The sequence below is a fragment of the Homo sapiens genome, chromosome 6, assembly GCF_000001405.40.
Source record: "Homo sapiens chromosome 6, GRCh38.p14 Primary Assembly".
NCBI classification, from domain to species: domain Eukaryota; kingdom Metazoa; phylum Chordata; class Mammalia; order Primates; family Hominidae; genus Homo; species Homo sapiens.
In genome coordinates, this window is record NC_000006.12 from 170,114,687 (window position 1) to 170,133,163 (window position 18,477).

At 47.9% G+C, this 18,477-nt stretch overlaps 4 annotated features.

Moving 5' to 3' along the window:
* Nucleotides 2,545-3,180: an enhancer, noted in NCBI's record as "H3K27ac-H3K4me1 hESC enhancer chr6:170432455-170433090 (GRCh37/hg19 assembly coordinates)". NCBI's record gives its function as "activates a minimal SCP1, AML or CMV promoter by ChIP-STARR-seq in primed H9 embryonic stem cells {active_cell/tissue: H9 hESC(primed)}" and the evidence as "EXISTENCE:reporter gene assay evidence [ECO:0000049][PMID:30033119]".
* Nucleotides 10,717-11,916: an enhancer, noted in NCBI's record as "BRD4-independent group 4 enhancer chr6:170440627-170441826 (GRCh37/hg19 assembly coordinates)". NCBI's record gives its function as "activates an origin of replication core promoter dependent on BRD2, P300/CBP, MED14 and CDK7 cofactors, and independent of BRD4, by STARR-seq in HCT116 cells {active_cell/tissue: HCT116}" and the evidence as "EXISTENCE:reporter gene assay evidence [ECO:0000049][PMID:35650434]".
* Nucleotides 13,856-14,356: an enhancer, noted in NCBI's record as "H3K4me1 hESC enhancer chr6:170443766-170444266 (GRCh37/hg19 assembly coordinates)". NCBI's record gives its function as "activates a minimal SCP1, AML or CMV promoter by ChIP-STARR-seq in naive H9 embryonic stem cells {active_cell/tissue: H9 hESC(naive)}" and the evidence as "EXISTENCE:reporter gene assay evidence [ECO:0000049][PMID:30033119]".
* Nucleotides 14,357-14,857: an enhancer, noted in NCBI's record as "H3K4me1 hESC enhancer chr6:170444267-170444767 (GRCh37/hg19 assembly coordinates)". NCBI's record gives its function as "activates a minimal SCP1, AML or CMV promoter by ChIP-STARR-seq in naive H9 embryonic stem cells {active_cell/tissue: H9 hESC(naive)}" and the evidence as "EXISTENCE:reporter gene assay evidence [ECO:0000049][PMID:30033119]".

The following is an 18,477-nucleotide window of genomic DNA, read 5'->3' on the forward strand; positions in this document are numbered from 1 at the left end:
TCTACTTTCTCCTTATCCCACACTCCTGTCGTAAGTCCCACCACCATCTCCCCAAGGTTCCCTCTTTTTGCTCTCCTCATTTCAGTAGGCTTTGCACATGGCAGCCTTCAATCACATCCTTCCCCTGCCCGAAACTGACTCCCTTTGCCTTCCAAACCAATAATGTGGTGTGTCCCTCCCTACCTCTCCTGGCTTCTGTCTCTCCTTCCTAATATGTAACTTGCATCCTCTGAACCTCCATCTTGTCCAAGTGGGAACAACCCTGGTGAGAGTCTGGAAGCTGGATTCTAACTGTGGCCCCTGGGCCTCCATTCCCCACCATGAACCATGGAGGCTGAACTACATCAATGGGTCTCTCACCTGAATGTATGTGTGGGTCGCCTGGGGTTTCGCTAAGATGCAGATGCTGATTCAGAAACTCCCGGTTGAGACCGAGGCTCTGCATTGCTGACCAGGGCCCAGGTGACTCCAGGATTGCTGTCCAGGTAATGCCTTGGGACCAGAGCCAGGGGCCAGACATTCTGTCCTGTCCTCCAGACCCAGCATCCCACAGCAGGAGCACACAGCTGTGGCCAAGCATGTGAGCTGAAGCCTCTGCTTTCAGAGTCTGACTCCCAGCTCTGCCCCACTACCTGGCTGACTCAGCAAGTTATGTAGCCCCTAAACCCTGGTGCTCTTCCTGGAAACACAGGGGCACAGTCTGCACTCCGTCTAAGGGTTGCTATAACAATTAAATGAGATAAACCATTTGCAGGGCTGGCACTGCCTGATGAGAAAGGCCCTCCGCAGGTTCCTACTCTCACCTTGGCATCAGGCTTCTCCTGAGCTCACACAGGGCCCTGGGCCTCGGATGCTGGGGAGGGGCCACCACCCCAGGGCTGGATATCTGGGGCTGATGGCAACCTGGAAACGTGCCCGGCCCTGGAAACCCGCCCATCCACATCCTCCAGGTCTCCCGTCTAGCCAGCAGGCGTTTGGAACATCCAGCCTTCACTGAGCCCTGGGGGAGGCCTCCCTATCCCCAGCACAGGGCGTGCTCAGCGAGAGGCCATGAACTGCAGGAACAGGAAATGGAGGAGAAAATCTTCTGTTTTGTAAACACAGTGTTTGGTTTCAGGAGGATGGATTCAAACCAAAGAACCCATGTGGACACGTTGTACCCTTTGAAGCATCGCACACAATTTTTACAGACTGTGGGTATTTCCAAAGAATGCATTCAGCACCATCTCTATCCAATGACGGGAAAGAAAGCCAAGATTGGATTTCTGAGGCAGCATTAATACATAATGAAATTCAGATTTCAAAATTATGAAGTCTTAATCAGAATCTACCTCACAAGATACCACCTGAAAATTCCAGTGCTATCCGGGGTGCCTTTGCGTGGTAACAGCAATTGCCATTACCAAGACTTAAGACAAGCTAGACGCTGTTGGAACAATGCAGGCTCCCAGGTCAACATCAGCTTGACTGAAATGGGATGTTTCTGTACTTGAGCTCTGCAACAGTAATGAAGAGCTCCATCTGGAAATCATTCCAATAACAACGACGACTGTCTTCTGCTTCAATCGATCATTCTATGGTCCCCACCGCTAGCCAGCTCTATTTCTGCAAATGTCATAGAAGTGTGGGTGTGTAGGCTGGGCAGGGTGGCTCACGCCTGTAATCCCAGCACTTTGGGAGGCCGAGGTGGGTGGATCACGAGGTCAGGAGATCGAGACCATCCTGGCCGACATGGTGAAACTCCATCTCTACTAAAAATACAAAAATTAGCTGGGTGTGGTGGCGTGCCTGTAGTCCCAACTACTCAGGAGGCTGAGGCAGGAGAATCGCTTGAACCCCGGAAGCAGAGGTTGCAGTGAGCCGAGATCGCGCCACTGCACTCCAGCCTGGTGACAGAGTGAGACTGTCTCAAAAAAAAAAAAAAAAAAAAGGTGTGGGCGTGTTTGTTGTGCGGGATTATGGTCTCATTCCTAGTGCTGCTTTGCCCTAGGGAAATGCTGGTCACAGCAGTGTTGGTAGCTCCCTCCCTCCTTGCTTCCCGCTGGGTCTGAGCTCCTTTCTCTGGGAGGTAATGGCTGTGTTAAGAAGGGCTAGCAGGATGGGACTAGCTCCAGAGCCCAGGCTGCAACGTCCCCATCGGCGCTGGGGCTGAGTTCCAGGAGGAAGAGCAGGAGGCTGGGGGATTTCCAGGAAGTCTCTAACCTCAGCAAACAAGAGCAAAGCTATCTGCCCATCAGACCTGGGCCACTCAGGCGCTTTTCCTGGTGGGTGACAGCCGCCAGGACTCTGAGGAAAGGCCATGGTGCTTTCTAAGGGCCCAGGAGAGGCCAGTCCTGGGCTGAAGGGAAGGAGCCCTTATTTTTCCAGTGACATGAGTTGTCCAAGCATTTTCCATGCACTCCCCTTCAGAGAACATTTCTGTCAAATGAAACTGTTGCTTCCTCCACTTAACAATCCAGAAGGAGCTGCCCTCATGCCCCAAGAGCTCACCCTCCCCAGCTACAGGGCACGGGGCTTTCCAGGGTCCAGAACCCAGGCTGGGGTGGCCAGGCCCATAGGTCAGGAATGAGCGTTTCCCAGCACAGCCGCCCTCAGCCTCCTCCATTGTACAGGAGGCAGGGAGCATGGGAGGAAGCTGCCAGCCTCCCTCCGAGGGCCGTGGCCCAGCACAGCTCGCCCACCAGACAGAAGTCACACAGGCCCAGCCCCCTTGCTCAGCGCAGCCCCAACACAGGCCTCCTGCCTCCCTCGGTCTGGGACCCACTCCCCACAGCACCTCCTAATTGAGGACTCTGGTTCTCCGTCTGGACGGCAGACCTAGAAACAGCCACAGACACAGGCTTGCTTCCTTGTGGTAAACAGACAACACAAGGCAACGCCCCACGGTTCGCAGTTCTGTGGATTTTAACTCCTGTGTAGATTTCAGCGGCCACAACCACAATGAGGGCAGGGTACATCCCAATGCCCCAAACCCCACAGTAACCCCTCTCCTCAGTCACACACCAGCCCCTCCAAGGCCCTGGCCCTGACCCCCTCTCCGCAGTGACACACCAGCCCCTCCAAGGCCCTGGCCCTGACCCCCTCTCCTCAGTCACACACCAGCCCCTCCGAAGCCCTGGCCCTGACCCCTTCTCCAGAGAAAGTCACGGAGGTGGGATGATGGAATGCCACCTCAGAAACTGCCTGCCTTCCTTCAGCAAAAGGCCTTGGGTTTCAACCACACTGTCTCCTCGCTGCTGAGAGGTATTCCACGGCATGGAGGGGCCCGTTCCTTTATCCTTTCGCCCATCGAAGGACATTTGAGTTGCTTCCAGTTTTTGCCAAACTGGAAAACAGTTTATGAATACAGCTGCTGTCAATATTTGTGTGCAGGTTTTTAGATTAACGTAAAGTTTCATTTCTCTACAGAAGATACTAAGGACTGGGATTGATGAATCACATGGTATGTTTATGTTTATAAGAAACTGCCAAACTGTTTTCCATTCTACATTCCCACGAGGAAGTGTGAGCGTTCCCACTTCTCTGCATCTTTCTCAACAGTGAGTGTTGTCAGCATTTTTTATTTTAGTCATTTGAATGGCTGCACAGCAGGAGCCCCTCATGCTCCGATGTACATTTCCCTGAAGGCTTGTGATGTTAAACACCTTTTCCTACGTGTATTTGCCACATTTGTGATCTCTTGGTGAAGTGTCTATGCAAATATTTTGCTCTTTTTTTTTTTGACCAGGTTGTTTGGTTTCTTACTATTGAGTTTTGAGAGTTCTTTATATGTTGAAGACAAGCCCTTTGTTGGATATGTGCTTTGAACATATTTTCTCCCACTCTGTAACTTGTCCTTTCATTTTCTAACACTGTCTTTCACAGAAAATGTTTTCATTTTAATGAAGTCCAATTTATCAGTTATTTTATGGATTGTAGTTTTGGTGTGTGTTTAAGAACTCTTGGACTAACCCCAAGTTATGAAGATTTTCTCCTATGTTTTCTTCTAAAAGTTTTACAGTTTACCTTTTGCATTCAGGTCTATGACATATTTTGTATTAATTTTCTATAAGGTTGAGGTTTAAGTCAATATTCACTTTTCTGCAAATGGATGTCCAATTGTTCCAAGAGCATTTGTTGAAATCCTGTTTCCACTGAATTGCCTTAAACCTCTGTTGTTATGGCCACGACTAGCCATAACTGTGTGGGTCTATTTCTGGACTACCTATTCTGCCCCATCAGCCCAGTCACAGGCGTGTGACTGTCTTTGTCAATATCATACTGTCTTAATTATTATAGCCCTTAAAATGGAGTGGTTCCTTCAACTTTATTCTTTTCCAAAATTGTTTTGAGTATTCTAGTTTTTTTTTTTTTTTTTTTTTTTTTTTGAGACAGAGTCTCACTCTGTTGCCCAGGCTGAAGTGCAGTGGCGCGATCTCGGCTCACTGCAAGCTCCACCTCCCGGGTTCACGCCATTCTCCTGCCTCAGCCTCCCAAGTAGCTGAGACTACAGGTGCCCGCTACCACACCCGGCTAATTTTTTGTATTTTTAGTAGAGACTGGGTTTCATGGTGTTGGTCAGGATGGTCTCAATCACCCGACCTCATGATCCGCTCACCTCGGCCTTGAGTATTCTAATTTTTTGTTGTTCTGTATAAATTTTAGAATCATCTTCCTTATATAATACAAAAATCTAGCTGGGATTTTATTGAAATTGCATTAAATATGAAGGTTAATTTGGGGAGAATTGACATGTTTACTATGCTGAGTTTTCCAATTGATAAGTACAGTATGTCTCTTCATTTATTTAGGTGATCTTTCATTGTTTTCATCATTCATCATCACCTCGTAGTTTTCAGCATATAGATCCTATATATATAGAGAGAGTTAGATTTATAATCAAATATTTTATTTTTGTGCTATTTTAGGTGATATTTTTATTTTAATTTCAGTTGCCAATTATTCATTGCTAATATATAGAATTAAGATTGATTTATGTTTGTTGATCTTATAGTCTACAAACTTGCTAAACTCACATATTAGTTCTAGGGGACTTTTCATGAATTTTTTAGGATTTTATAGTGTACAATATCATATTGTCTATGAATAGGAACTGCTTTGTTCCTTTTTTTTTAATCTGCATGCCTTTTACTTCCCTGACTAGAGCTTCCAGTACAATATTGAATAGGAGGACGAGTGGATATCCTTGCCTTCTTCCCAATCTTTGTGGAAAACATTCAGTCTTTCACCAGTAAATATGAAGTTATCTGTAGGGTTTCCTTTTCGAGATGTTTCTTATCAGAATGTGGACATTTCCTGCTATTCTTGATTTGCTGAGAGTTTTTGTCATGAATGAATATTAAATGTTGTCAAATGATTGCAATGTACCAATTGGTATTATTGTGTGATTTTTCTTCTTCAGCTGTTAATATTATGGATTATGTCAATTGATTTTCAACTATTGAACCAGCCTTGCATTCCAGCAATAAAATTCTACTTTGTCATATATTATTTATATACATGATATAATATATAAATAATATACACACCAAGTAGAATTAATTTCTGTTGAGGATTTTAAAATCTATATTCATAAGAGACATTCATGTGTAGTTTTATTTTCTCACACTGTTTTTGTCTGGTTTTAGTTATCAGAGAAATATCAGCCTCATAAAAGGAGTTGGAAAATTTTTCTTCTTATATTTTCTGGAAGAGATTGTGTATAACTGATGTTATTTTCTATTTACATTTTTGGTAGAATTTGGTAGAATTTGCCAGTGAAATTGTCTGGGTTTGGAGTTCATAGCATTCCCCTTTTTATCCTCTTAATGTCTGTAGGTTCTGTTGTGTTGTCCCCTCTTTTGTTCCAGATATTGATATTTGTGTCTTCTCTATTTTTTTCTTTTGTCAGTGTTGCAAGAGCTTTGATCAATTAATCAATTCAAATGACTGATTTTTTTGTTTCACACATTTTTCTATATTGTTTTTCTGTTTCCAGTTGTATTTCTGCTCTTATATTAATTCATTAAGGTTTTACCTTTGGTTTTTCATTGTATTTTGTTTTGTTTTGTTTTGGTCCTTCTTTTTCTCAGCTGTTAGATTTGAAATGTATTGTTCTGACTTCTTTTTTCTTTTCCAATAGAAGCATTCAATGCTATATTTTTCCCTGTAAATACTGCATTAGCTGCAACCCACAAGTTTTAATACATGTATTTTTGTTTTCATAAAGACTTCTAATATATTCTAATTTCTCTTGAGACTTTTTTTAATCCAAGGATTATTTAGAAGTGTTTTGTTTGATTTTTGAAGTGTTTGGAGATCTTCAGGTATCTCTTTGTACTGACATCTATTTTAACACCATTATGGTCAGAGAATGTACTGGATTTCAACTCTTTTCAATGTCTTAAGATTTGTTTTTGATTCAGGATATGGTCTATCTTGATTACTGTGAACTCAAATACAACATGTATTCTCTTATTCAGTAGAGTGCTCTATAATGCCTATTTAGATCCAGTTGGTGGATGTTGCTATTCAGTTCTGTATTCTCCCACATTTTTAGTCTATTAGTTCTATCAATTATTAAGGTGTTGAAGTCTACAATTATAATTGTGAATTTGTGCATTTCTATTTTCAGTTCTGTTTTTATTTCATGTATTTTGAAACTGTAGATATGTAATGTACATACATATATAGGATTGTTAAGTCTGCTTGGTTAATTGAACTTTTTACTATTACAAAATATTCTTTTTTATCCCTGGAAGCTTTCTTTGAAGTCTACTTTGTCTAAGATTAATATAGCCACTCAAACTCTCTTTTAATTGGTGTTTCCTTTGAATAGTTTTCTAATTTTTTTTTACTTTTAACCTATCTATATCATAATATTTGAAGGGAGTTTCTTGTAGACAACATACAGTTGGGTCTTTTTTTAACTTTTTAAAATAATCTCTGTCTTTCAATTAATTTGTTTAGATCATTAACATTTAATGTAGTCTAAACATTGATATGTTTGCATTTAGATCTATGAGTTTACTGTTTGTTTTCCATTTGTTTCCTGTGTTTTTGATCATTTTGCTTCCCTTCCCCTGACTTCTTGGGGGTTATCTGACCTTTTCTTACAATTCCATTTACCTATTGTGTTTTTACCATATCTTTTTGACTAGTGTTATTAGTGGTTGTTCTACAGATTACAGTGTACATACTTAACTTTTCACATTCTATTTAGGATCAACATTTTGCCACTTCAAGTGGAGCATACAAGTCTTGTCACCATATGGACTCCTTTACCCTCTGCTTTTATGTTGTATTACACCTATATACATTGAAACCTCTATGAGACAATGTTATAATTTTTGCTTTTATAAAATATAATTTAAAGAACTCCAGAGGAGAAATGTCTATCATATTTACTCATATATTTACCATTTCTGATGCTCTTCCTTAACTACCAAGGTTCTGATTTTTTTCTGGTACCATTTCCTTTCTGTCTAAAGTACTTCCTTTAACAATTCCTTTAAAGCAGATCTGGTGGCAAATATTCTCTTTGTTTCTTTCACCTGAAAATGCTTTATTTTACTTTTATTTTGAATAATATTTTCATCAAATGTAGAGTTCTGTATTGACAGTTGTTTTCTTTTGGCACTTGAAAAAATATGCTACTTCCTTCTGCTCTGCATAGTTTCTTATGAGAAATTCACTGTTATTATAATTGTTTTTCTACTATAGGTAAGGTGTCATTTCTCCCTGGTTGCCTTCAGTATTTTTTTCTTTGTCTTTAGTTTTCAGAAATTTAATTATAATGTGTCTCGGCATGGATTTTTAGGTTATCCTGTTTGAGGTTCACTTATCTTCTTGAATGTGCATATTACATCTTTTGTCAATTTGGGAAGTTTTCAGCTATTATTTATGTGGTAGACAGAATTTTATTGTGGCTCCCTAGATTCCCACTCCCTGGTATACACACATCTTCTTTTAGTTATTCAATCAAACATTCATCTAAGTGCTGCTATGAAGGGATTCTGAAGTGTAATTGAAGCCCAAATCATTTGACTTTAGGAAACGGAGGTTATCCTGGATGAGCCTGACATAATCAAGTGAACCCTTAGAAAGGAATTTGGCTCTTCCTGGAAATACTGGAAGCATGAATGTTATTCAACATAAGGGAGAGTCTCCCTTGATGACTTTGAAGATAAAGGGAGGAGGGTGAGGAATGCAGGCATTCTCTGGCAACTGAGAGCAGAGCCCAGCTCAGAGCCAGCAAGGAAATGGGACCTCAGTTCTACAGATGCAAGAACTGAATTACTTCACCACCATGTGAGCTTGGAGTTTCCAAGACCCTGAGTTTCCAATAAACATAGCCCTGATCTTGATTTCAGCTACATGAGACCCTGAGCAGAGAATCCAGCTAAGCCATATCCAGATTTCTGACCCACAGAAAACAAAATAATAAATGGGTGTTGTTTTAAGCCACTAAGCTGTGGTAATTTGTTTTGCAGCATTAAAAATATTTCTCTAGCAGGGCATGGTGGCTCACACCTGTAATCCTAGCATTTTGGGAGGCCGAGGCAGGTGGATCATGAGGCCATGAGTTTGAGACCAGCCTGGCCAATATGGTGAAACCCTGTCTCTACTAAAAACACAAAAATTAGCTGGGTGTGGTGGCACACACCTGTAGTCCCAGCTGCTCCAGAGGCTGAGGCAGGAGAATCATCTGAACCCGGGAGGTGGAGGTTGCAGTGAGCCGAGACTGCCCCACTGCACTCCAGGCTGAGCAAGAGAGCAAGACTCCATCTCGGCCGGGCACGGTGGCTTTTGCCTGTAATCCCAGCACTTTGGGAGGCCGAGGCGGGCAAATCACGAGGTCAGAAGATCAAGACCATCCTAGACAACATGGTGAAACCCCGCCTCTACTAAAAATACACACACAAAAAAAAATTAGCCAGGCATGGTGGCACGCGCCTGTAGTCCCAGCTACTTGGGAGGCCAAGGCAGAAGAATTGCTTGAACCTGGGAGGTAGAGGCTGCAGTGAGCCGAGATCGCACCACGGCACTCCAGCCTGGGTGACAGAGCAAGACTCTGTCTCAAAAAAAAAGAAGACTCCATCTCAAGAAAAAAAGAAAATATATATACATATGTATGTATATATTTCTCCATTTGCCTCATTCACTCTTTCTTCTCTCCTATTTGATTTCCATGACACAAATATTAGCCCTTCCGTAATGCCCCATAGGTTTGCAAGCCCTCCTGGGATCTCATCTCTGAAGTCAGAGAGGAAGGTAAACTCTTCAGAGAGCCCTGTGGGTTACTCCTGCTGCTGGCACCACAGCAGCCTTCATGGACAGCTGGGGCTGCGGCACAGGGAACAGAAAAAGTGGAAACAATAAAAATGAGACCCCCGCTCTGTGTGAGTGTTAGGGGTCCCCTTTTCTGCTCTGTGAGCCAGGACTAGGGCTTCTCATGGGGTTCTCTCCATCTATCCTGTGTCCCTATTGAGTTTGAGGCTATGTCCAGTTAAAGCCAGGAGTACTGAAGGGGAAAAAGGTAAACTCACTACCTACTGGAGAGATTTGGGCTCTGGTCTCCTCCAATCTCCCTGCAATGACTTGCTTTTCAGAGCCCCTCAGCAGCTGCTCCGTGCCTCTGTACAGGTCAGTAGCCGCATCCCCTGTGAGGGTGGAATGGTGCAATGACTGCATCTCATCAGAGCCAAACCCAGATGCAGCTTTGAAAATTGAATTTTGGTGGTGGAATTAAATTATTTTCTCATTGACTTGCATTGAAACTGCCTTTATTTTAGTTCTGGTTGGCCAATAAATTGTAAGGGTCCAAAGCTTTTAGATTTGGTCTCCCTGCCTCTCAGGCTCCTGGTGAAGTGGTAAACAGGCATCTCATGTTGGGAGAACAAGTGCTAAATGATAACAAATGATGCATATTTTTGCAAAGCAAAACTCCTTTTACTGTGAATAATCATGATCAGGTCTGTTTTATACATTTAGATATTTAAATAGGTCTGAGATAAATAAACTTCCTTTAGAATATAAAATCTTTCTGTCTGAGATAAACTCAATTTCATATAAATTGTTTAGTTTGCTCATGAATATCCTATTGGATAAGGGATTATCCCAGTAGTCTATAACAAAGGTCAGCAAACTATACTGTGTGGGCCAAACGCAGCTGGCAGCTTGTTTTTATAAGTAAAACATTATTGGAACAAACATTCTTCTATTATCTGTTTCTGCTTTCAGCTACAACAGCAGTTGAAGAGTCACGGCAGAGCCTGGAATACTTCCTGTCTGGCCCTTCACAGGTAAAAATTTGCCAACTTCTGATCTATGGAATGTAAAAAAGGTAAACAAAATTCTCCTGCCCAGCAGGCATGTAACTACCTGACAGCCAGGCTCCACCTCCCCACCCACGCCCACGTCACCCATTCCCGGTCAACCTCGGCCTTCTTTCCTGCTGAGCACAGCCCCTCAGAACCCTTCTCAACACAGCACTGCAGGAAGCTCTGACCAAGTTATCTAAAATTAACATGATCAAAACTGTTTGTCCTGCCTACTCTAGGCTATGGTTGGAAGAAGAAATTTAAGTGACAAAAAGAAAAATCTAAAGTGATTTTGTTACCTAAAGGCAGCAGCAGATTGGTGTTTCAGAGGCCCTGAAACGTGTATAGCTCAGAAGTCTCTTCGTGAGAGAACAATTCCAAATTATGAATGTAAAATTACTACAGCCTGAGAAAAGACCTGTGCAAATAAGAAATGAGGAGGTTGAAACTGCCTTGGTTTCCTGGTAAATCTGCCTTGCAGAGGCTTTGAACTCTTCACAGGCCTGGCCCCACCCCAGAGCTGCTGAATGTGCCTCGGAGGTGGGGTATCCAGGCTTACGAGTTGCTGCAGGCATTTCTCAGTTGGTCCAAATGCACATCTGGGATCACAGCCTCTGATCTGAAGCAGAGGGGAGCAACGCGGCCTGGCTGGCTGTGGGACATGGCACCAGATGCCATTTCAATGAAAGCTTCACAATAACATGAGCAAGGGTCGGTGAGTGCTGGAATCAGCTTCTCCAGCTGCTGTGCTCCAACTGGCCAGGGACCTACAGAGAAGACGCTCAGGGCCAGCATCGTAGCCCTCGTGGAGGCACAGCTGAGGTTCTCCGCAGTCAAGGCTTCTTGGAGCCAGGAGTCTGTAGAGCCCTGGGGGCCTGGAAGCCCCTCCATCTGGGAAAGTGGAGGCAAAAGTACCTGGCCCTGCTCCTCCTCGTCCAGCTGGGAGAAGAGCGAGGACCCCACAGTCACCACAAGGAGAGCCCAGGGCTCAGGAGAGCATCTGAACACACGACAGGGCTCGAGGGAGCATCTGAATGCACGACAGGGCTCAGGAGAGCATCTGAACGCACGACAGGGCTCGGGAGAGCATCTGAACGCACGACAGGGCTCGGCGGAGCATCTGAACGCACGACAGGGCTCGGGGGAGCATCTGAACACACAAAGGCCTGCCTGCTGAGGGATCGGCAGTGGTCCCAGGTCTGCCTCCTGCCCACCTTCTGACCCCAAGTGAGTTCATTTACGGCCCTGAGCCTTAGTTTCCCCAGACTTAAATTGGGAATGGTGAAAATACTTACCTGCTAGGTTTGTTCCGAGGGTGAGGAGAAATCGTGCATGGGACACCCTCTGAGAGCCTGGCATCGCCACTCCAGTGCAAATGAAGAAAGATCAGAAAAATGACTCTCGGATGCTTGTTCTCAAAGATTCCCCAGAATTTTTACAATCTTGAGGTAAAGAAGGCCTTCCTTAGCAAAATACCAATTTAAAAAGTACAAATAAAAAGACTGACAGATCTGTAGAAAATGACCTGTTAAAGGTCAGAAGATAAGGAACAAAAGTAGGAAAATCATCCCTATTTGCAACTTCCGTGGTAGCCAGCCTCACAGACAGCCTCACAGTCCCTGATCCTTGGAGCTCGCGTCCCTCCCACACTAAGTAAGCCTCGCTGGTGTAACTGGAAGGACGTTGCAGAAATAACGAAGAGTGACTCCCAAGACTAGGTCAGTGAGACAACATGCAACATGACAAAAATAGAAACAGCTCATGCAAATTGACAAGAAAGAGGCAGTGTGACAAAAAGTAAGCCAAAGGTATAAATGTCACTGGAAAAGACAACCAAAAGCTATATATAACTGCATGAAAATATGCTACACCCTCACTAGTAATGAAAGGAACGCTTAGGAGGCCGAGGCGGGTGGATCACTTGAGGTCAGGAGTCTGAGACCAGCGTGACCAATAAGGTGAAACCCCATCTCTACTAAAAATACAAAAATTAGCCAGGCGTGGTGGCGGTGCCTCCCAGCTACTCGGGAGGCTGAGGTGGAAGAATTGCTTAAACCCAGGAGGCGGAGGTTGCAGTAAGCCGAGATCATGCCATTGCACTCCAGCCTGGGCGACAGAGCGAGACTCCATCTCAAAAAAAAAAAAAAAGAAATGCAGTTTCATATACTGAAATCGCCAGTGTGGTAGATTCGTGCAGCAATAGCACAGTCCCCACAGGGAACCATGCTTCCTGTGCAGCCCTCTCTTATGGAGATATGGGCCCTTAGCCGGTATGGTGTCAGAAAACCTGACGGACAGAAACGTGTGTGGAGCACTGGGATTTGCCTCCTAGAGAATGAGAGACCTCATGGAGCACAGCCAGGCCGTCTCAGTCAAGACCCACTTAGACTGCATGGGGCAGAGCCAAGACCAGCCCCAGCCAATCCCCCAGACACCCGGAGCTTGAGCTCTGCAGATGAGACCGGTGGAAGAGCTGCCCAGCTGAGCCCAGCCAAAATGGCCATGGCTCTGAAAGCATTAAGGGTTTTGGTGGATTGTTATGCGCAACAGAGATTGGTACCATGAGTAACTTTCATCCTATCATATTAACAAAGTTGGAAATGATCAATATTTTCCAGCATTGAGGTGCTAACAGAGAAACTGGAACCGTCTGCTAACGAGAGTCTAAGCTGGTGCGTCCGATGTGAAGAACCTTTAACAATAACCATCAAGGTATTCAGTGCTCATTGCTCTTGACCTAGCAGGTCCACTTCCAGAAATTTTTGCTGTGGAAGGATATGCATAACTTGAGCATAGATGCATGAGAATAATATTATGCAATATTAATCATAATTGTGAAAATACAGAAAACCTAGGCAACCACGTGCACTAAGAAATGCAGTACACGCACCCTTAAGAAAGAACCAGGCAAACCTGTGTGTTACAGTATCCAAAGCTGGACATGACAAGTTATGAGAAAAGCAGATTTTATAATAAAATGTTTACTCTAAACCATTTCTGTAAAATAAATAATGTGTGTTGTTATGCATAGGAAAAGTCTGCAAGGCTGCACACCAAACCACGTATAAGAATTGTTTTGGGGGATGTGACTATGGTATTTTTGTTTAATTTTCTTTATTTTAGAGTAGCTTAAATATTTTACAGTAAGCATTTATTACTTCCACAGTCAGAAAAACACAAAAACAAAAATATTATAGAGTAAAATGTATAAATGATGTAACTTGCAGTAAATACGTAGTTTGTCATTTATAGTAAATATTTAGCTTGTATTTTACATGTGTGTTGAAAATCTGGAAAGAAATGCAGTATTTAGGACAGCTTTTCCCCCTATGGTGAGATTTCAGAGAGAGATTTGAATTCTTTTGCAAAGGCATTGTATTAATAAAACATACATCTTTTGGGGCCAGGTGTGGTGACACACTTGTAATCCCAACACTTTGGGAGGCCACAGCGGGAGGTGCGCTTGAGCCCAGGAGCTCGAGACGAGCCTGGGGAACATAGTGGGACTCCATCTCTACAAAAACATTTAAAAAATGAGCCAGTCATAGTAGTCTGCACCGGTGGTCCGGCTACTCAGGAGACTGAGGTGGGAGGATCACCTGAGTCCAGGAGTGCAGGTGGAGGATGCTGTAGGTGGTCCTCACAGCCTGACTGTGGCTTTGCCTGGGTGTGCATTCCCCACAGTGGGCGGTTGTGCATGGCTGAACTAACGCAGTCCTCAGAAAACGTGAAAATGCGCACTGTTCAGATGAGAAGGAACAGGCTGCAATCGGGAGTTCTCCTCTTTGCCTCCCTGGTCCAGGGGAGCCCTGCCGTGGGCAGGCAGAAGCCAACCAAGGCTTGGAGGGTAGAAGAGCAGCCTCAGGCTGCAAGGAGGGTCCCAGGAAGCAGGCGGGTTGGGGGGCATGCCCTGGCCCCCGAACGCCCCACGTGCAGGGGCCTCAGCCCCGTGAGCGCTGCTCCCTCTGTGACCTGGTGACAGCGGGCCCTGCCCCGCAGGTCTCAGGCGTCTACACGATGCTTGCAGCCTCGCCTCCTCCGGGATGCTCGAGACCTTGATACTAGGCCGTCGTGAATGCCTTCCCAAGTTCAGTCTTAGCTGCAGTGGGGCACAAGTGCCATCCCTGAGCTGAACATGGCAGAGCCAGGCTTCTCCAGGACCCTCATCTCAGGCACAGGCTTGGGGCCCACACGATGGCCGACACCCCGGCCGCAGCAGACGCCGCATGGCAGAGCCGAAGCAGCAGCAGCCGGGGCCCTTCACACCTGCGCCCCTGCCCATCGCACTGGCTCAGTGGCTCGTTCTTTGGCAGGTGCTCCTTGCAGGGTGCTGGGAATTTCCCCAATTCTCCTTGGGAGAATGGATTCTCACCCTGGGAGTCGCTTCACATTTGGGGGCGGGGGCAGCAAAACACAGTAAAATGCACAGAAAAGTCACCCTCCCAGAACCACTCACATCCTGCTCTGCAGAGGGGTGAGGAGGAAGAGCCGGGCGGACCTCGGGTCTGGGCACGGGATGCCGTCCTTGTCCACCCCAGGGCCACCTGGGCTCAGAGCCCCGCACCCTTCTTGCACTCCTGGCTGCCAGCCCTGCTGGAGCAGCCCCTCCATCCCACCTGTCAAGTGTGGACAGAATCACCTGGGGCTCAGGGTCAGAAGACCTGGCAATGCCCTGTCCCAGGCCCTGCAACTCCAGACAAGTCCCCCAACCCCTCCGGTTTCCATTTTCTTCTCAGTAAAATGGCAACACAGTTGCAATGCCTCCCCTAGTCCCACCAGATAATCCCACCCTGTGAGGCAGCATCAGTGAAATGGCCACGAGCACAGCCACGCTCTGTGCACACCGTGCAAGGACCTGGGAGGTCAGGGTGGCTCTGCCTGTATTGCTTCTCGTGGCCAGAACTCCACCTGCCTCCTTGTTCCCACACCCGCCCGCAGGGCCTGGAAGCATCTCTGAATGTTGCGTTCTATTCATAGCTGCTGTGAGCAGCCCAGCTGTGCAGGGTGTGGGAGCCCAGTGTGCTCTAAGCCAGTCCCCAGCATAGAGCCGGCCAGCCTGGCGCAGAGCCAGCTGCTCTGGTATGGGGTGTGGGCAGCCTGCCGAGAGCTGTAGGGCGGCTCGAGCAGCTCCTGGTGACTGAAGTCACCCCCTCCACTAGACTTTGCCCCCCGACTGCCCCCAGCCCACCCTTTGAAGTGTCATTGTCGCTCCTGGAAGGCAACTTGGGGTCCAGGGTCCCAGGCCTCCAGCCCAGGCTCAGGGGCAAACCCTGCGCCAGTGTTCACGCACCCACACTGCTCAGTCCAGTATGTTGCCCTTGGCGTGGGCCGGGTAGGTGACACATGCTTGGTGACAGTCCGGCCCTCTAGGAGTCAGAAGGGCATCCCCGGACACTGGGTCGATGGCCCCAGTCTGCGAGGACACACACCTGCTGCAGGAAACAAATGTAATGCACTCCAAGAGCTGATTGAGCAGGAACCACCCTCCACAGGCGCCGCCCAACGTGTCCTCCCTGAATGCTCCCACGACCCTGTGTGGGGTACTCCAGGCCCCCGGCTGCAGGGAGGGAAGTAGAGCAGGAGGATCCTGAGTCAGAGAGAAGCCGTGTGCATCCAAACTAAAACCGGAGCTCCTGACCCGGAGACACTGGTTAGCAATGGCTAGAGCGTTTTTCTGATAAAGGTGCTCACTCGGCTCTTGAGCCACGCTGTGCCACTCCACCTGAGTCCGGGCACACTGGGGAGCCCAGACCAGGGAGAGCGAGGCCAGGCTGGGCTCCCGAGACCCTTGGGTGGGCAGGGTGGCCACACAGCCTGTCTGCTGTGGCCAGACACCTGCACCTCCCCCTCAACACACAGGGTTCCACACCCCTACCCTGGGCCTCCACTTGCCTGCCAGACTCATGGCCATTGCACAGGCCCCAAACAGACGTGCAGGCCCTCTCCCCAGCACTGTGCCCCGGGATCTGTGGCAGCCCTCCTCATCCCCAGGCCACATCTGAGAAGTGTCACCAAAAACCTGATCTCCAGTCCTCTGCCCAGAGCCCCGAGCTCCTCCACGGTGACCCTGATGCTCCAGGCCTTGGCACCCCCGGCCCCTGCTGCTGCTCACCTGCTCGTACCAGCTGGCATCCGGAGACAGCCGCCTGTCCAGCCCCAGCTGAGACTTCCTCCAGGAGGTCAAGGGCATCTCGTCTGACCCTCCCCTTCCCCTGAGGTCTGGCTGGAGTGTCCTTGGCCTCCAATGTGTGGTCGTGGGAGGCAGAACCCACTGCCTCACCCCAAACACACTGAGGGTTTAAGTGCCTGGTCGTCTCCTCGGGAATAAAGTGCTCAGGACTGAGGGAACATCTCCAGCTCATTTCCTCACCAAAGCCCTATTTTCTCAGCTGCTCACCCCTATCAGACGGCTCTCCTGCCTCCTCCATCTCCCCACCCGGGCCACGGTCCCAGAGGCTGGGGCTGTGTCCACTGTGCTCCCGTCTGGGCCTTGGGGCTCACAACTGCTGCGTGTGCAGCCGGCACTCACTGTCATGGCTGAATGAAGAACTGGGGGCCAAAACAGGTGCCCGTCCACAAGGGCAGCCCCAGAAACTGAGCCCAAGGCCATGGGGTGATGAGGCCTGGGAGAGCAGCAGGCACCCACAGTCCATCCTCCAGCCACAAGGGAAGGGGAGCCGCCAGGGGGCTGGCCCAGCAGCCTCGGAGGGACCACAGGGGCTCGGAGCTGGGCGTGTCTTTCAGTGAATCCACACAAGAGCAGACTGAGCTAACACAGCTACCCTACCTGTGACACCACCACAGAAAGGCTATATATTTCTTAACCCTTTGTTACTATTGTTTATAGGGAAAAGGTCTCACTGTGTTCTCCAGGCTGATTTCAAACTCCAGGCCTCAAGTGATGCTGCCACCTCAGCCTCCCAAAGTGCTGAGATTACAGGAGTGAGCCACAGCACCTGGTCTGGATAAATTCTATGCTCAAATTGTTTAACGTTGTGAATGCACAGCCGGGTTAGAGCGAGGGGCCAAGTGCCCAGGTACCAAGCCTGCGATGCTACAGGACTTAATCAGCACGGAGGGAGGCCCGTCCCAATCCCCCCAGCTGAGGCTGGGGTCTCAGAGCCTACTCCACACAAAGGGTGTGGCTTGGGGTTGAATGAGGACTTGGATGAAAACTCACCTTTGCATGGACAACCCTGTCCTTGCAAAAGGGAGGAGGGAACCCACGGGCCCAGAAGCCACTGAGAAGCTGCTGGAAGCCTGATTGCGCTGGAGCCCAGCCCCCGAGGCCACACCAGGAGGAGGAAGGCCGCAACACAGAGGAAAGGGGGAGCCATGCCCTGTCCAAGGCTGGGTACATAGAGGAAAGGGCGAGCCACGCCCCGCCAAAGGCTGGTACATAATGGAAAGGGGGAACCACACCCCACCCAACACTAGGTACAAAGAGGAAAGGGGGAGCCAAGCCCCACCCAAGGCTGGGTACAAAGAGGAAAGGGGGAGCCACGCCCCACCCAAGGCTCAAGACACTGTTAACTTGGGTCTTGCTCCTGGAGGAATCAGTGCCGAGCCAGGTCTTCCACAGCTGATCCCACTGAGCCTGGCTCAGCACCACCCAAGCACAGGAGGGGAGTGGCTGCCCCAGACATGGGGGGCTCTGTAGGCAACAGGGCTGGCTGCAGGCCACAGAACACCCTCACTTCTGCTAGACACAGGCGCCTTCAGGCTTTGCTGCACCCCCGACACCCCGCATGTGCCAACAAGGAGGCCCCACGTTGCCGGCTCCAGAGGCACGAGGTGAAGAAAGACGGTGTGTGGCCCACAGGAGACCCTTTCCTCTCTGGGTATATCTATCTGCATGCTTGAGCCATCAACTCACCTCCAGTCTCAGGTGCCAGGCCGGCACCCCGACACACACAAGGTCAAGGTGGGTAGAGCAGACAAGCCTGCGTTTCTCAGTTTCTCATTAGCCTATTCAGGCAGGTGCCTCAGTGGGTAGAGGAGACCCAGCTCGTGCTTCTCATCAGCGTATTTGGGCAGGTGCCTCAGTGGGTAGAGTAGACCCAGCCCCACTTCTCATCTGCCTATTCGGGGAGGTACCTCATTGGGTAGAGGGGACCCAGCCCTCACTTCTCATCTACCTAGACAGGCAGGTGCTTCAGTGGGTAGAGGAAACACA